The sequence below is a fragment of the Homo sapiens genome, chromosome 1 (genome assembly GCF_000001405.40).
Source record: "Homo sapiens chromosome 1, GRCh38.p14 Primary Assembly".
Taxonomy (NCBI): domain Eukaryota; kingdom Metazoa; phylum Chordata; class Mammalia; order Primates; family Hominidae; genus Homo; species Homo sapiens.
The window spans coordinates 90,277,213-90,304,840 of NC_000001.11; the positions used below are offsets into that span (position 1 = coordinate 90,277,213).

The 27,628-nt window shown below is 39.4% G+C and overlaps 2 long non-coding RNA genes across 5 annotated transcripts in view; one reads left to right on the forward strand and one right to left on the reverse strand.

Moving 5' to 3' along the window:
- The window catches only part of LOC105378849 (uncharacterized), a 65,806-nt gene extending 57,788 nt beyond the window's left edge, over positions 1–8,018 (forward strand). Inside the window, exons 3-5 of one of the 2 annotated variants that reach the window (XR_947588.4) lie at positions 4,349–4,478; positions 5,008–5,135; positions 6,594–8,018. This is a non-coding gene — a long non-coding RNA (uncharacterized LOC105378849). The remainder of the gene's footprint in view (positions 1–4,348; positions 4,479–5,007; positions 5,136–6,593) is intronic. The other variant, XR_007066216.1, reaches the window with a different exon arrangement.
- On the reverse strand, positions 1,404–23,695 carry LOC107985088 (uncharacterized). Of its 3 annotated transcripts, XR_001738146.3 has the most exons (6): positions 19,728–23,695; positions 9,876–10,050; positions 8,013–8,117; positions 4,911–5,224; positions 4,410–4,637; positions 1,404–1,492 (listed from the first exon to the last, which is right to left on the reverse strand). It is a non-coding gene; the product is annotated as an uncharacterized LOC107985088 (long non-coding RNA). The 3 variants fall into 3 exon arrangements; XR_001738143.3 differs by having other exon boundaries at positions 1,416–1,492; positions 9,876–23,695; XR_007066217.1 differs by lacking the exons at positions 1,404–1,492; positions 8,013–8,117 and having other exon boundaries at positions 4,472–4,637; positions 9,876–23,695.
- Between the last annotated feature and the right edge of the window lie 3,933 nt (positions 23,696–27,628).

The following is a 27,628-nucleotide window of genomic DNA, read 5'->3' on the forward strand; positions in this document are numbered from 1 at the left end:
GTATTCATTGAGTTTTCTCAACATGTCAGTGTTCTATGCTGGTTATAATTCTTCAAATATTTCTATGTATTTGTACCATTTACCCCTTTACTACCATTGTTAAGTGTTTCTAACACTGTATTAATTATACAAATGTTTGTGAAGAAATCTCTGAGAACTTTGGAAATTCCCAAATCCACAAAACTACAAGGAAACAAGTAGAGAATTAAAGTCATGATATCCAGTTAAATGACTCATGCCTGCCTCCCAGTTCAGGCAATTGAAATTTGTGCCTCATCAAAATTACAAATTACTCCATCTTATGGACTTTCAGGGTCATTTAAGAACATTCAAAATGATGAATGTTAAATCCACAACTGCCAGGGGCTTATTGTATCATGCATGTCAGCATGACACTCAATTGTTACTTTTAGTGACAATCAAAATAACTTTCATTTAAATTATCTGCCACAACCCTTTACAGTATTTCAGATTTCTGACTAATCTATGTTTCATTTAGCCTTTTGAGTTCCATTTGTTCAAAGTCAATGTAAGGTAAAGCCTAGATGTTATCACAGCTCCTCCAAGAAATTGGAGAAATATCGTTAGAGATGACAATATTCACAAAGCACTGGGGAAAGGTTGAGGTATGTCCCCTTGAAATTTTCCAAAAAAAGAAAAAAACTTATAATGGTAGGAAATATTATTGAACTTTTAAAGTGTATAAAATCATCGATTTAAATTGTGAAATATAAGTCACAGTTCTATTGATTTCGTTACTGGATGAAAAATCACAAATTTCCCATCAATGTAGAGAATGAAAACAAAGAAAGCTATGATCACGTTGGGGTGCCTCTACCACTGATATCATACCTACCTGACTTACGTCATGTTTGCTTTCCTGAAAGGACTTATGTGTTCATATTATCATGTGTTGACTTTAGAATTGCTTGCAACACAGATTTAAAAAATGTGAATCCAATTCTCTCAGTCTATGACTGACTTCTATTTTCGGTAAAAGCAATCATGTAAAGATATGTCCAAATAAAAGCCTTTCATTCCATATCCTTGGAGAACAATTCCTCAGAGACTACCTCTTCGACAGCCCTGTCTATAGTTCCTCCTCCATCTGCATTCTCCCTTCTCTCCTACCACTACCATTTCCTTTATGTGGTTCTGAATTTGTAGGATGGGTCCAAAAGGAGTTCCAAGTATTTCAGGGCTGGGAAAACCAACCAAGTTTCATGCTTCAGAACCAACGACAATGACTCGTGGGCCTTCACCAAAGCCCAATATTTCACTTGCTGCATCTACACTCAGTACCTTTTATCCTGAGACTCAACAACATCCCCAGAGTAGGTGGCAAAAAGACTACACACTTCCTGGTTATAAGGCCCAAGATGGAAAGGATGTCATTTACTTGCCTGAGTTGCTTCATCTGCTACCATAACTGAGATGGGGCTGCTCTGCTCTCCATGTTTGGTTGGATAGTGGGTTGAGATGATCTGGAATACTAGGATTAGCAGGTGAAATAGTTTGGTTAAAACAGCAGAAATGCCTCTGGGACAGAAACACCAACACTAGCCCTGAACACAGGTCAGATCCTAGCAAGATTCTCTTGGGTGGAAGCTATACCAATATAGCAATTTACTTGTTGTCTATAAGAGTTAACATAAGCTGCCTCCAGGGTGCTCAAAGTGCTCAACAGAGTGGCCTGGGCTTTGGGGAATTGGAGAGTTCCCCTCTTCATGTGTTCCTATGTATATATCATTTGCTATAAAAGTCAGAGATCAAGCAGGTCACTTTTACATGAATTAGTTCATGTGCCTGATTCCTAAATTCCACACATCCTTCTTTTTTTTTTTTTTTTTTTTTTTTGCCCTAAGAGAAGCTCAGAGAAATAAAGAGGCTAACCCTGAGTGCCAGGGAGTTGAAAGATTGTAAGTCTCATGTATCCTGGTTTCCTGGGCCAGAAAAATAAGCACAGTCTTGCAGACAGAATATCTTTAGCCTTCAGAAAAATGTTCCTAGCAGGCAAATATGTGACTGTCCTCCTCTATATAAATCAGTATCTACATCATGTCCCAATCATGGGCATTTTGATCTGTTGGTGCCCCAACTTACTTTCAGAGAATGCATTTCACAAAAAAATTCCATCAAATCTATCAGTGAACTATAGGCAAGGAGGACTAATTAATGACCACCTGAATATACCTTTGGTTTTCTTTTTTAATTTCTTTGAACATCAGGGTTATGAGCATGGATTCATTTGCATTACTGGCTTAACTAATTTATCTGATTTTAAGGTCTACCATTACAGAAAATTAGTTCAGAATTGTTCCTGGTTTCAAGTTCCATTTTTCTCTGGAAATAACAAATCACAGAAGAGTTTACACAAGTTAAACAAATGTAACCAAATATACTCGTACTTCCTGAAACTGTGAATGATCTGGTGATACTGAGGAAGCAATTACAATCTTAATTGGCATCAAATTATAGGAAATTAGTTTCATGGTAAATATTCATTCTCTCTGTTATCCAATCTATTATTTGCATTAGAGATATGACATTTAGGCTGCTAGAAGGAACCCAATTTTATTTGTTTTTATAAAGCATTTTAATTGAGGATTAAAGAACAATCCTTAGTGAGGATTGCAGAAGGAGAGTTTTTGTTTTGTTCGGATAACACCAAAACAAATGCCAACCATCATCTATCTTGAATGTTAAAGTCCTCTGAATAAAAATTAGTCTTAGTTGTTCAAGCACCATTTGAGTTAGATTTAAAAGACAACCACAAGAAGAAGCAGGCCTAGTGAAAAATTTGGTAAAGTCTATAAGGGGAGTGTTTGGTTATCTTTTGCTGCATAACTAAGCCCCAAAATTTAGTCACCGAAATTATTATCAATTATTGTTATCTCTCATGGTTCTTTGGGTTGACTGGGCTCAGCTGTGTGGTTTTAACTTGGAATTTCTTGTGAGTTTTCAGCTGGGGCTGGAGTTATCTGAACTGACTGAGTTGGAAATCTAAGATGGATTCTTTATTCTCACGGCTGATGCCTCAGTTGAGATGGCTGGAGCAGCTGGTTGCTGGCTGGGCATCTCTCTCTCTCTCTCCACATGGCTAGCTTGGGTTTTCTCACAGCATGGAGGTTTCAAGACAGTTTGATTTTTACAAGGGGGTTGATACCTCCTAGAGCAAGCATTCCACAAGAGCCAGGCAGAGGTTGGAAGACACCTGTGATCCGGCCCTGGAGTCCAGGCAGCATCAGTCTGCTGTATTCTACCAGTCACAGCAGTCACAGGCTAGCACAGATTCAATAGGGTGAAGAAACATACTCCACCTCCAGATGGAGGAACAGTGTGTATAGAAGGAGGGGAGAAATTGATGGTGGTCATCTTGAGGACAAACTACCACAAGGAGAATAAACAATATTTATACTTATAATGTGTCTATCAGATTACTTTGGAGGCTATTCCCACTTAGATTCTTCATATAGAAGATGTGGATATAGAAACATGCAGATGAATCAGTCAATGCCAAGTGTTGGGGGAAACTTCCATAGTCTGAAGGTTCCCACAGAGAGGATAGCACTTCCACTCCTCTCCCATGAGGGGAAAATAAAGGAAAAAACTTTCAACCTCTCACCATAAGCTCATTCAGTCCTCCCCTTGGGAAGAGAAATGACTTACCTGAGGAATGTGCTTGGAAGTAGTTGTGCTGGTGAAACTCAGCCTCTGTGGCTTTCTCTCTCTTTCAGAGTTAGCTCTTGTCAGGATGCAAATTTATTTCTCCCTTTGGAGGACGCCTCAGTCCAGCTCAGCCAAGGACTGAAGGGCGCATCTGCCTAATTCAGGACTGGGGAATTGGGAAGTCCACTTGGCCCCCAGATCTATGACATGTTCTCGAGTCCTGAGACCTGCTAACTCTGGTGTCTAATTTCTCAGTTGGGTCATATCTTGGGGTTATTTGTGTTCCCCAGCTCTGGCAGTAAGATTCCCAAGCACTCATTCCTTCTTAACCAATTTCTAAAGGTAAAATTTTGGTTGAAGAGTACTCTTTTCTTCCTGCTACCATTAATTGGGTGTTTATTTTGTGTCAGGCACTGTTCAGTATTTTACATTTCTTAGCTGATTTGATCTTTACAGCAACTTTATATGACAGACATTGTTCCCCCATTTTTCAGGCTATAAATCTGAGGCCCAGTGCCCTACAATGGCCATGTGGTGACACAAGGCTTTGAGCACAGATGGTTGACTTCCAAAGCCTATGTTCTTAACCATTATGCCACTCTGTGTTGTGACAGCGCCAAACATACTTTCATTCATGTATATTTTTTAACTGATCATATTCTTGTGTGATTTCTTTCAGAAAGGCTTTTACATCAAATATTGATAACGATAATAATGATTAACACATGTGGAGCACTTACCATCTCTCAAGCACTGCTCTAGAGCTTTCCATGAAAGAATCCCTCTAATCTTCAGAACAATCCTGTGAGGTAGGTGCTACTATTACTCTGTTTTCACAAGTAAAGAAACTAAGCACAGCAGATCCAAAGTCATGCTGCAGGGTGCTGTGTAGAATGGCTCCCAGGACACTGGGAAAGCTCTTCTGCACCCCAGTATCTTCTCTATTGGTTCATTAATGTCTGATATTCCTGCACAAGAAAACACAGCATAGAGAGAAAGCTTAATATGTATATACACTGAGAGATAAGGCATTTACCTAACATCTCATTATAGGTATTAGAAATGCAGTCTCAAGAGCAGGTTCTCGTGGGGTGACAGGCAGGGTATTCTAGGGGAAGGAACACCCCAAGAAAGGTAGCATTACAAAGGAAGAGGAGAAAGAAAGAAGTAAATGAGGAGACACTGATTTTCTTCCATTGCAAATTTTCCCAAGGCTGGCCCCTTTCCTATTACATTCTTACCCAGTAACTCATACTTTCCCTAGAGCTCTTGCAAGCAAGAACTATTGAGAAAGTAGCCCATCTGAAAGTATATTTCCTGCTGTTTATCTGCTTCCAGAACTGGCTGAAGTTTACTTTTTGGTACTCCAGAGACCTAGCTTCTTCTTGCCTTCTTCCAATGTGGTCTATTTAATCTCCTGTCGTGTGGGAAATTATGTTCAAAATCTCCGTGATCCTCTGTCCATAGTAAGTTATGCATGTAGTGACAAGTACATGCCACAAGGTCTTGAGATTATATCTGCAATGTGTTGCTGCTGGCTGTTGATCAAGATAGGCTGGAAGAAAAACATTATTTTCAGGTGTGAAAAAGCGTCACCTTTATCAAATAATTCTTCTTGCATTTTTCCCAAGACGTTGTGGCCTATTTAAACTTGGGAGGTTAAGTTTGTAGCATTCATTATGACTGAAAATTTAGTTCACACAATCATGATGCTCTCTTTATTAGGTGTTACCGTTAAACAATATTAAAATAAACACAATGTGGCTGGTCTTTTGTAAGCTACATGGCATGTTTACTTCTTTGCCTGGCTTCTTAATTGCATTTATTCATCTTTCCGAATACCAGTGTCACTGTCACCCACAATATTTGCTGTTTTGAGTATGTGGTTTACATTTTATTTTGCCCAATGATAGAATATGATGGGGACATCTTATCTGAGTGTTTTGCAGTATGCTGTAGTTTGAATTCTTGGCTGTTGGTTTCCCAGAGTCCCAGCTCCTGCCACTGTATTCTGCTTTTGTAAATGGAGAATAATGGCACTAAAAGAATTTCGCCTAAGAATCTCATGACCGTGGAGAAGAAGGACCATGGAAATGCTAAAGCATACCACTCGGCTTCTGTAAATCATGCAGAGGATCATGAAAATGATTGAAAGTAACGTATCCCAAACAAAGAAGCCAGCTGTACCATTAAAGACCTGTGTCTGGCTGTTAAAAAAAAACACACACACACACAATGGAAAGAATAACCTTGCTATACATCTTGTTCAAAACACTGCAGCAGATTGAGTCATCTAGACCCAGTTTCAGAAGAAATGTTAAATACTGATAGGGGCATATTCAAGACCTTTAAGATTTTTTGGGGGAGGAGGGGGGAACATAAAAAAGCAATAATAAAGATAAATTTGAATGCAGGAAAAATACACATAATCCATGAACTCAACACCTGTTTTTGCATGTTTATCATCTTTGTCCCTATGTAGATCTATGTTTTCTTTCATAGTTGGAGTCACAGAATATATACTATTCTCTAAGCTTTTATTCTTTAACATTATAGAAGAATGTTGTTCCATGTTACCACATAGCCAACTGTTTCAAAACTTGTTTAATAAATTCTGTGTTGTTGTTTTCACAGGAAGAAACAAGCACATATATATTACTTGTTGTTTGTTTTCTTCTGTTGAATCATACTCTTGGAATAAATTGTTTTCAGTGAGGTTATTGGTTCCAAAAAGTATAGACATTTTGGCTATCTTTAGTTAGTTGTATTGCTTTCCAAAGAAGTGATAGAAATTATACTTGCCACCCCAACAGTGAAAGTGTAGTAGTTTAATTTCAATGTAACAGAGGATGCTACTGTTGCTATTATATCTTCTATTACACTGAAAATCTTTAAAATTTAAAGCAAGCTGGATTGTCTTTCAGGAGCTGCTGCCAAATCAACACCTCGATATGTTTGTTCTTGGAGAGAAATGAGCTAAGGAGGAAGACCGTCTAAAAATACCACTGGACAATTTGTACTCACTGGAGTGGTCTCTATGGGGCAAAAGGTTTTTAGAGTGGCTCGTGGATTTTCTGGCAAGTGGCAAACCATACAAGAGCTACGTCAGGCCAGGAAGACAGGTACAGCCCTGTCGGTGTCAAAGAAGAACACCGGTAGCAGAAGAGCTAAGAGTGAATGAAAATGGAATTATCTTTACTTCTAGGACTTGTCTATTGAGAAACAGCAGCGCTGGCAACCATTTACTACCAACAAGAGGCAGTTGCAAGAGAAGAATATAAAATATGCTCTGCTCAACCCCACAAAACTCAGAGTGTCTCACAATGGCCAATTTATTATTTTTACCCTGTCCAGTGACATGGAAGGATGCATCAGGGAGCTGCTAGCCTCTGCGATGAATAACTTAAGTCAGGCTGCAACATGTGAAATAATTCAGCTGACCAGGATTTATAACACTAGCTAGATTTTTTGCTTTCTTTGGGGTTCATGAAGCATGGTGTTGTGAGATACCACAGGAGTCCCGGAGTAAAGTTACATACCTATTGCTCTTCCTTATTTTTATTTTTTGGTATTTTCATATTATTTTATTGCCTAGTCCAAATGTCTTCCTAAGCAGGGTCCAGCCTCCTAGGGGACACGTCTCTTCTGACTTTGAAAATTAGAACCACAGACAGATAAGACTTCTAAATACTCTGTTTTTATACCCTCTTCTTCACATACCTAGTCCCAGGTGGTTTTGACTCCCTGATGCTGTGTTGATTGTGTTGGCCTTCAATTTATTTTGCTCAATTATTTATGTGCATCTGCCCAAATAAGAGGTGTGGCAATGCAGTGGCATGCTTACAATTCAGCCCATCTCACTCCCTGGTTCATATGTCAGTTTGCAGGATGGCTTGCTAGATTTGCAAAGGGGTGTGGGGGACAGTTTCCATCTGCTGCCATTGCAAAACACATCTTTCAGGGGCTACCTGGCAGGGCTGTTTTCTTTCCAGGTAAGGTTCAGGGACATTTCCATGCACTGAGTAGAGTCTGGATCTTTGTTTTCCAGGTGCCTCAGAAGACTAGGACATGGGGCAATTGCAAATCCTGGTCTTTGTACATTACATAGAACTTAGGGTAGGAAGGGACTTCAGAAGATCATCAGGTCAAATTTCCCACTTCCTTGGAATTCTCATTTTTTAGAGGACCAATGGTTGGCAACATCCCTTTTTTGTGTTGTCATTTGGAAATTGTGTTAAAAGCCATTCTTTCACAGTTGCTCTGTGGTCCTTCCAATTTTCACTTTAACTGGGAAATTTTAATGAGATCCTTCAAGCAATTAAAAGAGTAGAAAAAATACTCACAGAAGCAGAATTTGGAGGGTAGCTATGGCTTTTCTCTGTTGACAAACCCCCTTTTGACTTCTTGACATCACTGAATCAAGTCTTAGTGTCTTGAGAGGTTACTGCCTGAATACAGGTTAAATATGTTAATATTCACTGATTGGAGGAAAGTACCATGAGCAAATCTAATGCAGGATCCTGGAATGCTGAGGGCATTAGTGGCTCCATAAAATGTAAATGCATTCTTAATTATCTCAAGTCACTGCACGCCCAAGTAGCTCTTTTGTAAGAAAAACACAGCTTACTGATAATGAGCATGAAAATTACTAAGAGATTGGTGGAGTAAATCTCTTAAACCTCCTTTCTTTTCTTTTCTTTTTTTCTTCTCCAAATTTTGATGTGACTTCGCTAATTTGAGTATGTGTCTCTTTTTAGATTCTACAGATAACCTTAGGGCCCCACAAGGCATTTTGGGTGATTGAAATAATAGCAGTTTGTACCTTACGGGAACCTCTAAAGATGATGATGATTATTATTATTATCATGACTGATTTTATTGAATCTATGAGGCTTATGAGGTCTTAAGTTCAAGATCAGCCTGGCCAACATGGTGAAACCCTGTCTCTACTAAAAACACAAAAATTAGCTGGGCATGGTAGTGGGCCCCTGTAATCCCAGCTACTCAGGAGGCTGAGGCGGGAGAATCACTTGATCCTGGGAGGTGGAGGTTGCAGTGAGCTGAGATTGCACCAGCCTGGGTAATGGCCTGGGCAACAGACAAAAAAAAAAAAAAAAAAAAAAAAAAAAAGAAATTCAGGTTGTACCCACTAGTTGCAGAGTGATTTTATTTTTATTTATTTATTTTGAGATGGAGTCTTGCTCTGTCACCTAGGCTGGAGTGGAGTGGCAGGATCTCGGCTCACTGCAACCTCCACCTCCCGGGTTCAAGCAATTCTCCTGCCTCAGCCTCCTGAGTAGCTGGGATTACAGGAGCCCACCACCACACCCAGCTAATTTTTTGTATTTTTAGTGGAGATGGGGTTTCATCATGTTGTCCAGGCTGGTCTTGAATTCTTGACCTCAGGTGATCCACCCTCCTAGGCCTCCCAAAGTGCTGGGATTACAGGAATGAGCCACCAAGTCCTGCAGTGATGTTCTATTTAAATGTGTGTTTTATAGGTTGCCTCATTTTCTGGTCACAGGGTCCCCACAAAGCAAGCATTATTACTTATTATTGCCATTTTTCAACGGGAAAACAGAAATACAGGAGGACAAATGACTTTCCGTTGGTCATTCAGCCTGTAAGTGGGAATTGAGAGCAGGATCTCAGGTACTCTGACCTGCTCTGTGCTCTCTCTTTCACTTAGCTTTCCAGTTTCTTTAAGCCAAGTATTGGAAGTGATTTGAAAGCTGCATTCTCAGCCTATTGGAAAGTGGTTCACCAGAGGTGTTTCTTCACCACTCTCATTCTTTAATGTTACCTGACACCAAAGATCTCATGATGGGAAATACTGAATGTGGATTTGGCCTGTCTGCTGACACCATCCTGTCACGCATCACAAAATTACCCAAGCTCATCCTTCTGATTGGAAGCACTTGGGTGGTGGAAGGTGGGGCCTTTGTTGATATCCCTACTACCCTCCATGAACTAAGGTATGGCTGGCCAGTGATCCTCATTGACATTTGGGGATTCTGTGTAGAATTAAGAGCATCCATTGTGAGTGCTGAGACCTGAGACAATGCACCAAGTAGGGCAGAAGTGTGTTGCATCAGTACCTTGACAATACAGTCTATTCTCTTATGTTCAAGACGTGAGCCACCACTGCTATCACACTGACCCCAAGTGGCTGCGATTTCAGCAAGATGGGAATACCAGTCACCTACCTTCTTCTTGACTGTGTTCTGCTGGGCTTCCTGATAAAAGATGTTTATTCAGAGAGAAAGAGACAGGAGAGTGAGGTGGCACACAAACTGCTATCCCAGACTTTGCCCAGGTTTTAGAGTTAAGATCTTCTTTGAAGGCTCTGAAATCTGGGACAGTCCTTACCATGACTGAAACCTGGAGAGGAGATGTGGACAGAGGATCATTTTTGTGTTAAGTCCCTAGGTGGCCCTCTTCTCTTCTTCATAACAATTTGTGTTGTGCCTGGGCCCTTGTTAAGTCCTCTTTGCATTATCTCTGGCTGTGACTAGCACAACATGTGCTCTCCTTCCACTTTCAGCCTGGAAGATCCAACTTCTGAGCCCTGAATGACAGACCAGCTTCATAATGGGAAGCTGACACCAGGCTGGCTTCAAGGGCTATGACCTGTGCAGTTGCAGAAAGCCTTGATCTCAGAAGGGTTGTGCGCTTAGTTTACAATGCTCTGCTGTTGCATCTTGAAATTCTTAATTTTTTATCAAGGATCCCTATATTTTCATTTTGCGCTGGGTCCTACTAACTATGTAGCTCATCCTGCCAACATCATTGGCTTCCCTGAGTATGAGAGTTCAGAAGAAACTTAGATGCTATTGTCTGATTCAGTCATGGCAGCTTACAAAAAGGAATGTGGGGAGCAGTCACTGGGTGACTAGCCTGAGGTTACTCAGGAAGTTAGAGGCAGAGCTGCAATCAGGACCACTTCTCTTTACTGCTAGCTGTATGCTCTTTCTACTGCACCCTGGTCATAAAACATCTCCCAACCCAGGAACAAGTTCTACCTCGTAGGTGGGCACAGTAGCGTGATCACTCTCTCAGTCATCTGTACTCCTCCTTTGCTTTGACCAAAGAGATAGGAAGGGACCTTTTGCCCACATAAAACACCTCTCAAAGGCTTGGCAACAACAGATAATGGAGAGTGTTGGCCTAAGACCAATGTTTCAACCATGGTGTCAAACAATATTTTGTGTCAGTAAAGAAAAGCTATATCACAAGTGGATTATTACTAATAATCAGACTAGTGGTACTTGTGAATGATTTGGTTTCATACTCACACTAGGACAACTATGCACACTGAGTATAACTGACCTTATGAGAACATCATTCTCACTAAGATTATGATGTGCTTTCTTGTGTGGGAACTGTACATAATATTGAGTGTACCCTTGGGAGGATGTCCTGCCCTATGATATTGTCTGTTGTGGGAAGAAGAGTGGTTGAGAACTGAGGATATATTAAACATTTACTCATCCAGATTTTTCAAGATTTACGTTAAGCCAGATCAGAAGAAAGCCATCTATTTGAATTGCATCACTCTAACCCCTTAAGTTGAACTGTCTATACGGAATTATAATTTCACAGTATGTCCAGATTACTTACCTGGAGCCAATTTGGGGCACCAACAGGACTAGTAAAACATCTTTGCACTTTGGGTCACATTGCTATCAAAGACCTTGTACATCATGTCATTCAAGAACCTTTATATTAGGATTCTTATGGAAAATCCTTCCCAAAGTTTAACCCTATGATAAAGGGTTTTTTTCTCCTGGTAACATGGTGGACAATTGGGAACTGTTTAACCCAAGGCATTGATTTCATTGTTTTGGTTGCCAAGAAGTATGGATGATGCTCAGAATAGGTTTTCTTGCTTTCAACTGCTAATTCCTTTATTTCTTTGATTTTTCTTTTTAAGAAATTTAATGTATTTAATAATAAATCATAAATTATCAATAGACAAATTAGCATAGAATGGTTTGGAATAATGCTTAAAGATCTCCCATTGAAAAAGATCCCAGTACCGTAGGGTTCACAGCTGAGTGTTAACTGAACTTTAACAAATTCTGATTTCATTTAAAATGATCAAAGCCTAGAAAAAAAATTCCTGCAGATCATATGGGGCACCTAATAACAACAAAAAAAAAGAAACAAAGAGGGGTGACTTTCTCCAATTAATTTTATAGTGTAATATCAAAGCTTGATAGTTAATATATTTCATCTAATGTAGGATGTCAATGTTTAGAAATCAGACATTATTTCATGTACCATTATAGATATACTGCCAATTAAACTGTGACTTCCTTAACAAAAGCAAAAAAGGGAATTTTAAAGATATTAAGAACATGCAAAGAAGAATATAAGCGCTAGACTCCCAACCCCCTCAATTAACTTGTTAATATTTTATTGTATTGGTTTTCAGTAATTATTTTTAATAAAATAAAGCATTATTAGCTAATGTTCCACTCCTGCCACCCCAATCTCATTCTCCTTCTAGGTCCCCAGGGACAATTGCTAAAATGAATTTGTTGTATATTTTAAAGTCAATTTTCTATACTTTTGCACATAAATATGTGCATTCATAAAAAGCATTTTTGTGCTGAGAAGGTAGAATAAGGCCTTCGAAGTTGTTGATGTTCAGATTCCAGTTGGCAAAAGTCTTACACATGTAGCATTAAATATTTTCAGTATTAAATATGCACATTCCACATGTTCAGCAGTTCTGTAATATACATCCAAAGTCTGCTCTGAGAAATGCTTACAACCTTAGCATAAACTCCCACTCACCCCTTTTAGAGAATAAAACTTACCCCTATGTAATGATCAGTCTAATTACAAGGGTGTACTCTAAGAACTTTCATTCATGTATTCAGCAAGTCTTTATTGAGCACCTACACATTTCATGCCAAGGAGGTGACCTGTGTTCTCCCTACACAACAGAAGAAAGAGTGGTGGCATTGGCAAGAAAGTGCAGTGGAAAGGAGGAGCTGAATTTGTCAGGAAAAAGAATGATATTACTTTGAATTTATCAACCCTGATGTGACATCTTAATAAAAAGTGCCATAGCCAAACCACGTTGCAAATTCTCAAAGGACAGTACCAGAGTTGAATAAAAACTAAGTGTCCCAAATAGGAAATGGTATAGAAAGGCCTGAGGCTGGGGTATGGAGCCACACGGGGTGCAGAAAATGAGGGAAGAGAAGAGGGAACAACTGCTCGGGGTGGGCTTGCATTGATGGTGAGAGATGGGTTTAACATGCATGTATAAGGACAGACATGATCAGGTTTAAAGAAAAAGAATTTTTTTTTCCAGCAGTCCCACTATGGGGCATTTATCTACAGGAAAGGAAATCAGCATATTTAGGAGATACCTGCACCCTCATGTTTATAGCAGCACTATTTACAGTAGCCAAGATTAGACTCAACCTAAATGTCCAAAAACAGATAAATAGATTAAAAAGGTAGTATATATTCACAGTGGAGTACTATTTAGCCATAAAAATAATGAAATCCTGTCCTTGGCTGCAACATGGATGAACCTGGAAGACTATGTTAAGTGAAATAAGCTAGGCACAGAAAGATAAATACTGCATGTTCTCACTCATATGTGGGAGTTAAAAAAAAAAACCCGAGCTCATGGAAGTGGAGAGTAGAATTCTGGTTATTACAGGCCGGGGAGAGCAGCAGGGAGGAGGGGACAGAGAGAGGTTAGTTAACAAATACAAACTTACAGCTAGATAGGAGAAATGAGTTCTAGTGTCTACAGCACTGTAGGGTAAAGATGGTTAGCAGTAATTTAGTGTATATTTTGAAAAAGCTAAGAGAGAATATTTTGAATGTTTACAACATGAAGAAATGATAGTTTGATGTAATGGATATGTTAGTTACTCTGATTTGATCATTATATATATAGAAATACATATATTATATACATACATTGAGATGTCACTCTGTATCCTATAAATAGGTACAATTACATTTCAAGTAAAAATGAAAAAAGCAGTAAGACTGAAAAGATAGGTTTAGTATCAATTTATAGATGACTCTTGATTTAGGGAAAGGAGATAGGTAGGGGAGAGAGATTTATGTCTGAGTGCGAAGAGAAGTTTTTATTGTCTTTTGGTGAATATTGCCCAGTGAATTTCTTAGTTTAGGAGAATCACAAGGAGCTGGCAGTGTAGTGTGGGCAAGTAGCTGGAGTGACATCAGAGGTCAGCTCTGTGACTCCAGCACCAGATTATTCTTTTGTCAGGAGCTGAAGCTCACAGTCAGATGCCCATGGCAGGAGCATCAATGTATTGACACTACCACCACCATGGGTCCATCACCCTTCAAAACCATGATAGAAAGACCAAGACATGGATGTGCAGCTAATGTTCCTGAGACGCAATGTCTCTGAAGGGCAAGAGAGCTGGTGTGATATCCAAAATAAGCATGAATAAAACCACATTTGAAGTTGTTTTCATCGGTTGGAAAGCCTGAGAGGAATCAAGATGGCTCTCCAAAAGCTTTGTAACTTCAAACACTTCCCAGGATCCCCACTGCCATCTCTTAATGTTATTATCCAAGTTCTTTTTCCTGGACTAGCTGAGTTTATAAGCCATTTTTGAAAGTAACTGTAGCCATATAAAACCATAGTTATAGGAAAATGCAATCTGTTGATCTCTTCATGGTAGAGTCTATATATCATTTACACTTCACTTCTCTGTGGGTGGAAAAGCTTTTTTCATGGTTTATTTAGCGGGAAGTCATTTTGATCAGCAAGATGAGTAATACTTTACAGCTGTTTGCAATTACTGCCTCTGCTCTGCCAGGAGTTTTAACTATTACACAAACTGAAATATCAAATGAGTTGATGCAAGATGGGGAGAAAAGAAATACATATTTCATAGGTCCATTCATGTCACCAGAAATTATCCATCACTTTTTTTTTTTCAATTCTATGTCTCTAAATTCAAAGTTACATCTCAAGGTAATTTTGAATTACATAATTCCAAAGGATTTTTATCAATGAAGGGAAGTGCACCTGCTAACACTAGATTTCCTATTACCATTGGAAGGGCACCATTGCCTAAATTCCACATAGGTCTGAAGCCAGTTTGGCTAGAAGGAACACAGGCCTTGATCTGCATATTTGTTTCTTTCAAACGCCCATTGTGAAAGTACAATGATCAAAATATTTCAGTTCCCATGAGAATAAAGTGACAAACATTGTTTCCCTTCTCATCTAACATAAACTTGATTTAACAAGTCCACATCATGGGAAATTTAGGAGCCCTTTGTACACTGTCAATTAGATTGGCAAGTAACCGATTTATTCAGAGGAAGAGCTGGGCGTTAGTGAAGGACAGATCTAGGTTTAAATCCTGACTCTCTCACTTCCTTGCTGTGTGACTTTGGGCAAGTTGCTTATTGCATAAAATGTTAAAATGTGCATAATAATAGTACAATCTAGCTCACGCAGTTGTGAGAATTAAATGAGATAATTGATATAAAGTATTTAGTACAGCTGCCTAGCACAGATTAAAGTCTTCCATAAATGGTAGCAATGATCTTTCAAGAAATAATTCTTCATAATTTTAAGGAAAGGATCACGCTCATTATTTTCTTCCTTCCCAATCTTTCTAACATGGGCCCACATAAAATGTGTCCCCCTCTGTCAACATCCCTTCACACACACACACACACACATACACACACGCGCACGCACACACACACACTCTCTCTCTCTCTCACTCTCTTTCTCTCAGATGAGGAACCAAGCTCAGGGGGAGGTCTTGGGATTAGTTCTGATTGGTTCTGATTGGGTCACATGCCCATCACTGAACCAGTGGAATGCTGCATGCTAATTGGCTAGTTCTGGGTCAAATGCCCACCTCTGAGGACAGAGGAAGAATCAGTTTGTTTAATTGATCCACGTGGATAGGCTAAGCTCAGGCAGAACTTCCAGCAAAACTTGAGTGCTGTTTTTAGAAAAAAATAGATGGAATAGATTTGAAATGAACAAAAACATTATATCTCCACTCAGGCATTTCTCTTTCCTGGGCAATTGACTGGAGGTTGCATGGGGTAAACTGATCCAGACTGCAATGATTTATTGAAAAATGCCATGCCTATTCAAATTGACAAAAATTTATAAAACTTGACTAGATCCAAAAGCCTCCACTCCAGTGAAAGGGTAATGCAATGTATTATTAATACATATTAATAATTAATACCTACTCTTAGGGATACCCTGCTCTTCACTTAGCAGAAGATGTTAGATGATAGGCGAGCAATTGATCAAAAGGTCAGAGGATCACAGGCATTTCTGTGATGTAGCAAGCACTGAGAATAGCTGTGAATATCCCAGGAATTTTCTGTAGGTATCAATAAAGCAAGATTTTGTTTCCTGAACACTGACCTGAGTTCTAGTTTGGTGAACTTTGTATTTTTTATTCACATTTAGCTTCCAGTATTTTCAAACAGGGGTTAATTCAAGGAGAAGACCCAAAGGATAAGGAGGGGAGACATCTTTTTTTTTTTAACCACATACTTTGTGATATGCATGTAATACAGATGTAGGGGTTTAAAGAATGCTGATAAATGTAACATTTTATTAATTTATGAAGCCTAGGGAAGAACATGTAAAGAGATCAGGATCTGATTTCAGATTTTACTTGCTCTTAAATAGATATCCCAGGGAAATTCAGATAAATTAAGACTCAAACGAAACCAACAAGAACATCATCAGATGACATGCCAGGCACTGTGCCCAGAGCCTTCTCAAGCAGGGTCTCCTTAAATCCTCCTGAGGATTCTTGGAGAAGGGCAATATTCTCCCCTTCCACAGATGAGGAAATTGAGGTCAGAAAGATCAAGATCACAAAAATACTCAATGGTGGAGCTGGTAAATGAATGAAAGTCTTCTAACGCCAACTCTATCCCTCTCTTTCCAGGATAAAATGTACCTTCAACTTAGCTGGTTCATCCAAATACTATAGATAGAATTTTGTTTTGTTTTTCAATTTCTAAAAGACACAACCATGGCTTTACTTAATTGGAACAAAAATTCTGAGAACTAAACATTCTCTTTCCCAGGAAGGCGGGCTGCAAAGGCACAGAGACTGTAGAATCTGGAAAATGTCAACTTCTCTGAGAATCAGGGTTAATGACCAAGGCTCACCACTCAGAACCAAGTATTTTGACTTCTGTGCAGTGCTCCAGGAGAACAAATTAGAAGTTAAGCTAGGGGGAACTGATAAACCAGTGGGCTTTGAGTCACAAGGACCTAGATTTGAAGATCGGTGTAAATAATTATAACTGGAATAACTTTGGATAATTTACCCAACCTCATTGAGCCTCATTTGTGAAATAAAAATAATTATTTCATTTTATTATTATTATTGTGAGAATTAACCATGGTAATACATATAAGGCATTTAGCACCAGGCCTGGCCCATGGTAAGTACATCATAAACGATAGAGATTTTATAGTGTTAAGATTATTAGTATTTCTTAAGATTGATTAGAAGTAAACCTCTTTTGTGGGAGGGGGGAAATGTATTAATTTGTTTCACAGGAACATGATATGCTAAGTTAGTGAATTTATGTGAGGCAGTGGGTGTGACAGACAACGCAATGAGTGGGAGACACGAGTGTGTTTGCCTTTTTGGGACCTCAGGAGTGAGGTGGGTCAAGGGCAAAGCTGATCCAAAAGGAAGCTGTGCCAGATACATGGAGTGGTGAAGGTAATGAAACTCCTTATGTCAATGAAATTACAACAAAGAATGCCTTTTGTAAATGCAGCAAACAAAAATTAAGGGTGGGAAAACACGTGGTTTTTAATGTCCAATTTAGGGGATGGTTAGGTCCAATTTAGGGGAGGATGTAAAGAAGAATTTAGTTTATGCAGCAGGTGAAGAATAGAATTACGGGAATAATAATCTTGAATTATTTAGATCAATTTACTGAGCCCATAATCTCAGGAATTTCTGACATTGTAGTAAAAGTAAATGAGGTGTCTGTAGATCCACATGGCTTAACCTGTGTGGCCACTGCTTGTGATCACCTCTGTATGAAAGAACGCTGATTTGAGGTGGCTCTAATGCATTAACCACATCAATTGCTTCCTGCTCCTTGTTGTCACCAAGGTGGGCCACACTCACCTAAAAATTAGGGCAGGCAGAAGGGGGAACCACTAAGCATTTGCATTAGTTTCCAGGTTCCCTTGTCAGTTTTAACCCCTGCAATAGTAATCTTTTGGCGAAGGAACACACAACCCTGCCATTGTGGGGGAGTAAGGATCCCAAGGGTTTGGGGAGAAGTTTTTCTGTCTTATCTGAGAATGGAGTCATGTTGCCTTTGGATCTCAAGACCTCAGGGAGATAGGGAGCTCCAAGTCCTGAGAAGGAGGAATGGTACCTGGTACCTTGAATATGAGGCACACACTAAAAGGTAAGAAGGAGAAATAGAAAGAAAGAATGAAAGAAAGAAAGGAAGGAAGGAAAGAAGGAAGGAAGAAAGAAAGAAAGAAAGAAGGAAAGAAAGAAAGAGCAAGTGAGAGAGAGAAAGGAAGGAAGGAAGGAAGTTGCTTGGCTTTAGACCTGAGTATTTCAGCTGTAGAAAGAGCAATTTTGCTGACTGGTGAGGTGGGGGTGGGGGAATGTATCTATTTCCTGATAATGTCTTCTGTGCTGAAAGTGCCCTGGATAGCAAGAAGGGGCACTGGGCCAGGAGAAACCACCAGAAAGAGGGCAACCCTCCAGTGCAAGAGGGTGAAGCAGCCTGTTCTTGAGTAGTGTGGACAGAACTGAAGGCATCTTTGTCATGGACTGTAGTGCTCCTTGTGGATGCTGAGGGACTCTGGAGCCCCGTGGGATTTTGCTTTACTGGGCTTCTTGCCCTGCTGCAAACACATCCTTTCATAGTTCTTTCTTGTGACTGCAGGAGATTGTGCTCCAGCATCAAAATGAGAAGCAAAAGATCATGGATCCAGGCCAGGGTTTCCCACTAATTAGCCATGCCCCGTCCCTAAGTCACTTGGCATCTAGGCCTCAGTTTCCTCATCTAGTAAATGAGAGTTAAATAAGATTATTTCATATATCAACTAAATCCCAAACAGGATTTTTCAATATCTTTTGTCCACTGTCTTCCCCCATCAATTCTTTCCAAAAAACATGCCCTTGTTGAGAAGTCTGAGACCTTGAACCCCAAATGCCTAGTGTGGTGAATGGCACACAGTAGGTGCTCAAGAAATACTTATAGAATGAATGTTTCTTTGGAAAGTCTCTGTTGAATGGATGCTGCTTTCTATTATTTCTTCCCAGAGAAAAGAGGCTAAAATCTATGGCAATATAAGAGGGGAAAATCATTCTAATAGTTGATGACACAGAATACATTAAAGCAATGCTCAGTCACCATACATTAAGTCTTTTTAACATGGCTTTTAAACAGCTTTTCTTATTAGCCAAATGAAATACAGTAATCCTTTAACTCTCCTGTGTCAGATTATCAGCTATTTCAAGTAAGTGTTAACATTTCTGTCACTGGCAAAAGTGAATTATGTTTTCCTTCCCAAGCTTGCATCAACATGCCCAACAAGCGGGCTGCACGCGCCTCTCTAATGGGACAGTGTGAGGTGCCACTGCGGTGATTATGAAGCAGCTCGACATCTGGAGGTGGGGGCATGTCAGCCCCACCCTGCAGCCTGAGCAGGGCCAGGCAACCTTTGCAAGATGAGTGAATGAATGAATTGGGATGTCATCCTGGGTGAATAACATAACTCCTATAACTGCTCTGGTTTTGTTCTATAAATAGCCTGAACAGAAAATTCTAGATGCTGTTATTCCTTGTGAATTTCTGTGTCAGGGTTGATGACAATACAGAGGATACCAGCTACTTTATGGTCAAACACCCATTCTTTAGAAATCTGGAAAATCTGTCCACCAGGAAAATTCAGTTGGGTGATACAAAGTTCTTATTTTGCAAACCAGTTGATCATGGTGTATCAGAGAAAGATCATATTTAAGAGACAAACTGCAATAGAAATTCAAATTTCTTACCAGGTGAATGTGATCAGGCCCTGGAGCCCATTTCTTGTTGCCTCTTCCACCTCCTCTTGGCTGTTCAGCGAGCCATGTTGCTGCACCACATCATGTCTTTTCACCGCCCTTCCTGCTGATGGGAACAACTACCCATCTTGTCTACCTGGAGAAACCTCACCCATCCACCAGAATGATGCTTTTCTTTTTTCCCTAGTGTTTTGCACCTACCTCTATTGGCACTTCTACATCTCATTCTAATTATATGTATATAATCTTGTCTCTTCCATTGAATGATGAATTTCTTGAGGTCAGAAACTATATTTTATTTTGAATTTCAAATGCTCTGGCATATATTAGAAGCCAAATAAATGATTGTTGAGATCAATAACTACTACTTAGAGTATCTCAGTTATTCACACTGAAACACTGGAAAGTAAATATTATTACTTTCATTTTAAAGACAGAATATAGGATCACAGATTTTTAGATAACTTGCCCAAAGTAATAAACTAGCGATAGAATATCTTAGATTGAAAATCAAGTGTGCAATGCCCATTTTAAATTAAATATAAGAACATTTAACATGTGTGCAGAATCACTAAAACTTCACAGATTGTATTTGTTAGTTCATGCATACATATATATTTTGTTCTAACCAGAACAGTGGAAACCTAGCACTGAATTAGGTCAACTGTTTTATCTTCTTTCACTTCTTAATATGAGCACATTTTATTAGTGCTTTCTACCTTTGGCTTACTAATGAGTAAGGAAGGGCTGAAAGGAAAATAGGTTGTCCCATCTTTTCCTGTCCTTCCATGTCATTATTTCAGTGTAAGTGGCTGGCTAATACAGGGAAGTGAGAAAGGATCTGGAAAACTCCTGCGGTGAGAGAATTCACTTTTGAGGAAATGAAGACCTTAAGGGGGAAAATAGAATGAAGACAAAGGTCAGAAATATTCATATAAAATCTCCTATAAATATATTTCTAAAAGGAAAATTTAACTGCAGAAATAAACACCAAATATAGTCAGTTGGTGACTTTTCTCACACTAAATTAGTAATAATACATGTACATTTATTTCCCTTGCCATGTTTAGCTTAATTGAAACTTTTCAAGATAGCTCTCCTGAAAACTGGTGGTTGCCAATTTGTTGTACTCCAATATGCATGCTAATAAGCATGTTTAAAGGTAGAGATAAATATTAATTAAAGGTAATATGCATGCTAACAAGAATTTTTATGTGTCTTTCTCATCCTCCAACCAAATGTTTCATGCTTTTTTGATTTTATGGCTGGAGCTCCTCTTCTTTGATGCTCCTTCCAGTCTTTTCAGTGGAGTCAGAAGCAGAGACTTGACTGCCTGAGATGGGAAAGGCATTGGAGACCCTCAATTGTTCTCTGCCGAGGAAGTATTTAGTGCTCTTCTCTCCCGAAACGCCCCTGGAAATAGATTGCTTAGGTCTGCAAATGTTAACTTCTCGCCTAGGCTCCTGTTGCGGCTTTGCCCTCCTCAACACGTTGTGGCTCCCTCCTCAGAGAAAGGCACAGTTCTAAGGTTGGAATGATTTCCCTTCATCTTCCCTTATCTTTCCCAAGGCCACAGTGCAAAATCTTCTCCTTTTTTTGCCATCTGTTTTACCTCCCCTTTCTATTCCCAAACCCCAGTTTCTCTTTTTAAAATTACTCCCAACAGGACTAGCTTGCCATTCATATGTACTGGAAACAAGTTGCTAAAAAGGTTTATATAAGTAAATTTGTGTACAATTGAATTTTTCTTAAGGGAAATTTGCAATTACTCTATGTTACTTCTTTGTGTGGAAAGAGCATGGGTTTGGATTAGTTAGATTAAAATTCAAATTTTAGCTTTTCTCCCTTGGTAGCAAAATGACTGACCTTGGGAAGGTGTGCACAACCTCTCTGAGCCTTAAATTTCTCAACTCCCCTGAATGAAAATAATGATGTCTACCTTGCAAACACCAGGACATGCTGTTGAATTCAAAAGTCAGATAACAAAATGCATAAGAAGTAAGATGCCACTATGTAAACTTATATATGCGTGAGTGTAGAGGAAGAGATGGGTATGCAAGAATCGTCAACAAAATGCTGATGGTGGCTGGTTTTGGGAGACATTTGCTTTTTCCCTTTTTTCTTTCTGTAATGTTTGAATTTTGGGCTAATTACTGTATTAACAGGGAATGAGAAACATGTTTCAGTATTAAATAACAAAGTTGTTGTAACTTTAAAAAAGAAAAGAAAAGAAACACGCATTACCTGATATAAATAAGTAAAATGTATTAAATCTCTGCTAAACATATGTTGTTGTTCTATGTTCTTTATACCCATTGTTTGATTTACTCCTCACAGCAGGCTTGGAGTTACTCTTATCCTAGCATGATGCCTCATGCATAGTAGGTACATGGGAAATGCTGGTTTTCCTTCTTCTATGCTATATGATTAGTTGGGTTTCATTCTTATTATATTCATATCACTAGACACAGAAACAATAGATGATATGTTTTTAGTGCTTTTGGGTACTGAATATTCCATTAAACATGGGGAGAGTGATGAAAAGTTCCAGGCAAGTATTTCATATACAATTTAAGGGAAAGGGGCTTCTCTACCTTAATATACATCTCAACGCTGGTTTCTCTCTAAAAATTTAGTTAGCTCTCTATTTTTCTAGTGGCTGCTCTAGCCAATGGTGTAACAAGGACAAAATAGGAGATTTTCTTAAAACTGATGCACATTATCAATTGTTATCTTTTGACATATAAAAAGTAACTACGTTGTTTTCTTTTTAAAAGAAACATACAGTGGCAAATACTTAAAATGTGACCACATAGATTGGAAACACAAAAATTATCTACTTTCTCCTAAAATGTGTATTTTGCACCCTTCCTAGCATTAACTACCCAATTTCCAGACCCACAGATCAATAATTATTCATGGCTGAGACCCATCAGCGGTTAGTAAGTGCTCTGTGCAATTTTCAGGTCACTTTTGTAGTTTGAAATTTTCCATCTGTCACATGGAAATCCTTTTCTATACAGCATAAGTGAACACTTCTCAGCTGTGCTCCATAAGGGAGAGGCAATTCCATGAAGGGCAGGGAGAGATGGCAGACGAGAGTTTCAACCTTTACAGATGAGAATGTGTATTAATTCTTTAAAAAAAAATTTGAAAAAATATTTACAAAGAAAGAAAGTGTGTACAATGGCTCCCAACAGCTGAGGGCGGCTGAAGACTCCTGGATGACCTGGACAGATGTAATGGGAGGTAAGATTTCCATCCCTGCTGAAGGGCAGAGCAAATCTCAAATGCCAGTGCAACTTTTGCATTTCTCTGACATGCCTATTTCCAACAATCTAAGCACTGAATCGCTCTAAACTTAATGTGGCTGGCTTTAGAAGACAAGGCAGAGGGCCCAAGGGGAGATGTAGTAATTCTTATTGCCATTGAATTGTTCTGTATTGATTACACATAAAAGCTATTTGGCGGCTCTTCTCCTTTTTTGGCTCACACCCTTACTTCAGCCTCTCGCATCCTCAGATGGCCCAGTGGCAAACAAGACAGAAATCCTCTAGGTGTCTTAACTAAACTTCATGGGGATATCTGGATCCTCCATCAGGGCTGCCACTGAAAAGAGTCCTGACAGGGTGGAAGGATGAGCCAATGACCTCTACTGCGAAGATTTCTTCCAACTCGATGGCCTCTGATTTTTTGTTAGTTACATGTTAAACATGAAGATCCATCCTTTTATACTGTGGTCTCACTGATAAATGCTGAGGACATACATATTTAGAAAAAGCTTCTTCCAAAGTGCAAAAGAAGACCGGTCTATATGTCCTATGTCCACATGCACAGAAAGGAGTGCACACGCATACACACACACACACATACACACGCACTGCATTTATGATCTTGAAATTGGGTTTGAAAAAGATATGTTCACTTCCGTTTTGCATATTTGAAATCTGATCTAAAAATAAATTCTGAATGTGAGGGTTGGTATTATTGTTAGAAGCCAATAGACTGGATAAACGTCTTCTGTGGCAGGTCCCATATAGTTTTTCAGCTCAAACTGGGTATTTCCCATTAGCCTCTTTTTCTGTTGTCTCATGATGAGCTCAGTTCAATCTCAGGGGTGCAGTGGGTGGGTGGGGGTGAGGGTGGGTGGTGAGACTGAGAGAAGCCCACTCAGTTAGATTATAAAGTATGACAGTTAAAACAAAATTTAGGCATGACGTAAATACAGTGAAGCGCCTAATCTTAAGTGTCCGTCTTGATAAATTTTCACATACGTACATGCTCATGACCATGCCCAATTTAAGATATAGACTATTTCAAGGACCCTGGAAGGTTCCCTCGTCCTCCTTCTGCCTTAGTACCACTTCCCAGAAAGAGGCCACTATTCTGATTTCTGTCACCAGAGATTAGTTTGGCTTGTTGCTGAACTTCACAGAAGTAGAATCATACAGTATATACTCTTATTTTTCTGTTTTTTTCTCATTCGACATTTATGTCTATGAGATTTATCTATTTTACTGCATATGCGATATAATTTTTTAGAAAAGGTCTCTCTAAAATTAAATATTCAAATATGTATTTGCCTGTGGAATGGTCACATTGGGAGGCTTCACACTTAAGCCAAGGCTGTGGCAATGATCTGGAAGGTCTGGAAACCCACTTCAGAATCTTTGTGCAGCAGTAGGCAAGACAGTCAAGCACACATGTCAGAGTGTTTTGGAGTCACACTTAATTTTTGACTCCAACCTAAACTGGATCATCCTTGCTATGGGTTGAATGTTTTTGTCCCCTCCAAAATTCATGTTGAAACTTAATTTCCAATTCAACAGTGTTGGGAGGTTTTATCTTTAGGTTGTGAATAAATCAGGAGGTTTCTGCCCTCATGAATTATACAAGGGCTTGAAATAGGGGTTTGAAAAATTATAAAAGGGCTCTTATAAAAGGGCTTGATGGAGGGAGTTTGCTCCTTTTTGCCCTTTTGTCCCCTCCACCATATCAGGAAATGGCATTCCTCTCCTCTGAAGGATGCAGCAACAGGGCACCATGTTGGAAGCAGAGGCTGTGCTCTTTCACCAGACGCTGAACCTGCTGAGACCTTGAACCTTCAGAACTGTGGGAAATAAATTTCTATGGTTTACAAATTACCTAGTCTGTATATTTTGTTATAGAAGCACAAACGGACTAACATATTCCTTTTTACTTCATTACACCTGTTTCCAAGTAACTTTTGCGGAATAAAATTTGCTCTCAAAATATAATAATACAAACATGCCACACGTGCTCTATGTGCATAATCTCACTTAATCCTCACAACAACCCTATTATTATCCCCAATATGAAAACACACAAACTGACAATAACTTGTCCAAGATGATACAGCCAGGAAATAGTGGAGCTGGGATCTTAACCCAAACTCATTCAGATTACAGAGCTGGTGGCTTCTATGGGCTTCTATGGGCTCTGAGGACACATCTCCAGAAATGTTCTGAGTGATGGCAACAGTTGGCCAAAATGAAAGAAGTGAATGGAGGCTAAAGGGATTACTCATTTTACATTATGGCTGTACCTACTAAGAGCCAAAACTTCATCATCATACTCTGTGTAAGAGTTGAGCATCAGCAGTGGGGCCCACAGTGGTGGGAGGGCAGGTTGGATAATGTAAGGATGCAGTGTGGAATGCTGAATAGGGCAGGGGATACTAGAACAAGGTGAAAGTACTGGCTCCAACTCTTACTCATTATTGTGATTTGGAGACAAGTATTTCACTTTCCTAAAGCCTTTGTTCCTTCATCTGCAAAATGGAAATTAATAATGACACCTATCTCACTGAATTTAGTCAGCATTCAATGATTCATGTGAAGCACTAGCACTATGCCTGGATATAGTCGGTTCTCAATAATGATTAACTCAGAAACTCTCTTACATTTAATGTGAGCATATGCCCCATCTTGAGTAGAACACTTAGAACAGAACTTTATCAAAGTAACGTAACACGAAGGGAGAGGGTTAAACTAGTTTGGTGGGAATGTTTATGAAAATCAGAAGAGAATTGCATTGGTGGGCCAATATTGGCCACTCATTTAATCAATTCATTTACTTCCCACAGCCAAAACATGGCCATTAAAAGGGTTTACTTGGATGTTTCCCTCTTTCTATATTGATCCCTTTTCAGTGAAAATATTGATGAATTTGTATAGATCGGGACCTTAAAGTTACTTAATTATTGATTGAAAACAGTTGCTCAGGCTGAGCAGGTGGGTTTTTACTTTGTTTAACAACTAGAAGAAACAAGCACGGTTTCTGTGGGATAAAGCTGGCACCGAAGTCCCGCCTGAGTGGGCTAACTCAGCTCTAAGCCTCAGCTGTGAGAGCTGCAACATCAATGTCCCCAGATGTTTGTCTATATGCTTTCTTGTTTATTAACAACTGGGAGTAAATTAGACAAAGCAGTGCCACCTATAGTGATTGGTCCCAACTCTGGGCTAGGCAGAACCATGAATATGGATTTGAAGTTACTTTTGAGCATGTTTAATGAGCTATTGCTCACTTCTATCAGTGCAGAAGCAATCCAGCAAACACCTACCAGCGCCTGAGGTGGCCTGGAGGACCTAAAGATCAAGAAAATATGTCAACTACACTGCCCTCTAAAAGTTGAAAGAATAGGAATACGAAGTGAGCTTTTAAGTCATCGTAATAAAGAGTAGGAAGAGGTTAAATTATTGCTAAAGTATTGTGAATGTTCAGAGAAGGAATTTTTTTTTTTTTTTCTGAAATGGAGTCTTGCTCTGTCACCTAGGCTGGAGTGCAGTGGCTCAATCTCAGTTCACTGCAACCTCCGCCTCCTGGGTTCAAGCAATTATCCTGCCTCGGCTTCCCAAGTAGCTGGAACTATAGGCATGTGCCACCACGCCCAGCTAATTTTTGTATTTTTAGTAGAGATGAGGTTTCACCATGTTGGCCAGGCTGGTCTCAAACTCCCAACCTCGGGAACACATATAATTTGGCTGTGAGAGGCAGAAACCCCAAAATAATGGCTTAAGCAGGAGAAGTATTTATTTTCTCCTGGGTAAACAAAGTCAAGAAGTAAACAGTCCAGGCCTGGACTTGTCTGTGACTCTTCCTATCAAGTTACTCCACCATCTTTGACACAGGGCTTTCTTCTCATGGTCTCACATGTCTGCTTAAGGCTTTCGCCATCATGACTGCATTCTAGAGTTGAAGAAGGGTAAAGGGAAGAAAATTTTCTGCTTTGATCTCTCAGAGTCCTGCCTGTTCAATGCAATGCTTCAAATTCTATGAATCTGTTCATTCCACGTTGGTTTACCTTCAGCCTCTCTGCCCCTGCAACATCATGAGGTCAGAGAATTTGTATGTTTCATTCAACATGTGAAAACATAGTAAGTGTACAATAAATATTTGTTACATGAATGAAATAATTCCACAAGTAATAGTCGTTAAAATGGAACTCAATTTTGACAATCAAAGGATCTGGGTGATGGCAAAGATGGGTAGGGGGACATTTGAGTCTTTTTATGTTGACTTCAGTGGGAGGTCCCATTAAGGAGACAGAGAGAGCCAAGAAGAGTGTGGAAGCTGCACTAGAGAAACTTCTTGTCCCCATTTGGAGCATGCGAGTGAGAACAGGCTGGTTAGACATCACTACAATCCATATAGGTGTTGCCAATAGTAAAATAACTTGTTTTAATACCACATCACATCCTCTGTTATTTTCAGAGCTTGACCAGGCTTAAATAATTGGAGATCTTTGAGAGCATTACAGGTTTTCTTGAGCTTCCCAGGTAAAGATCGCTTTACATTCCATCATTAATGTGTGTGGCTGGAGGACTTCCAGACTGAGAGAGAAAAAGAAGAGGAGCACAATGTAGACAATC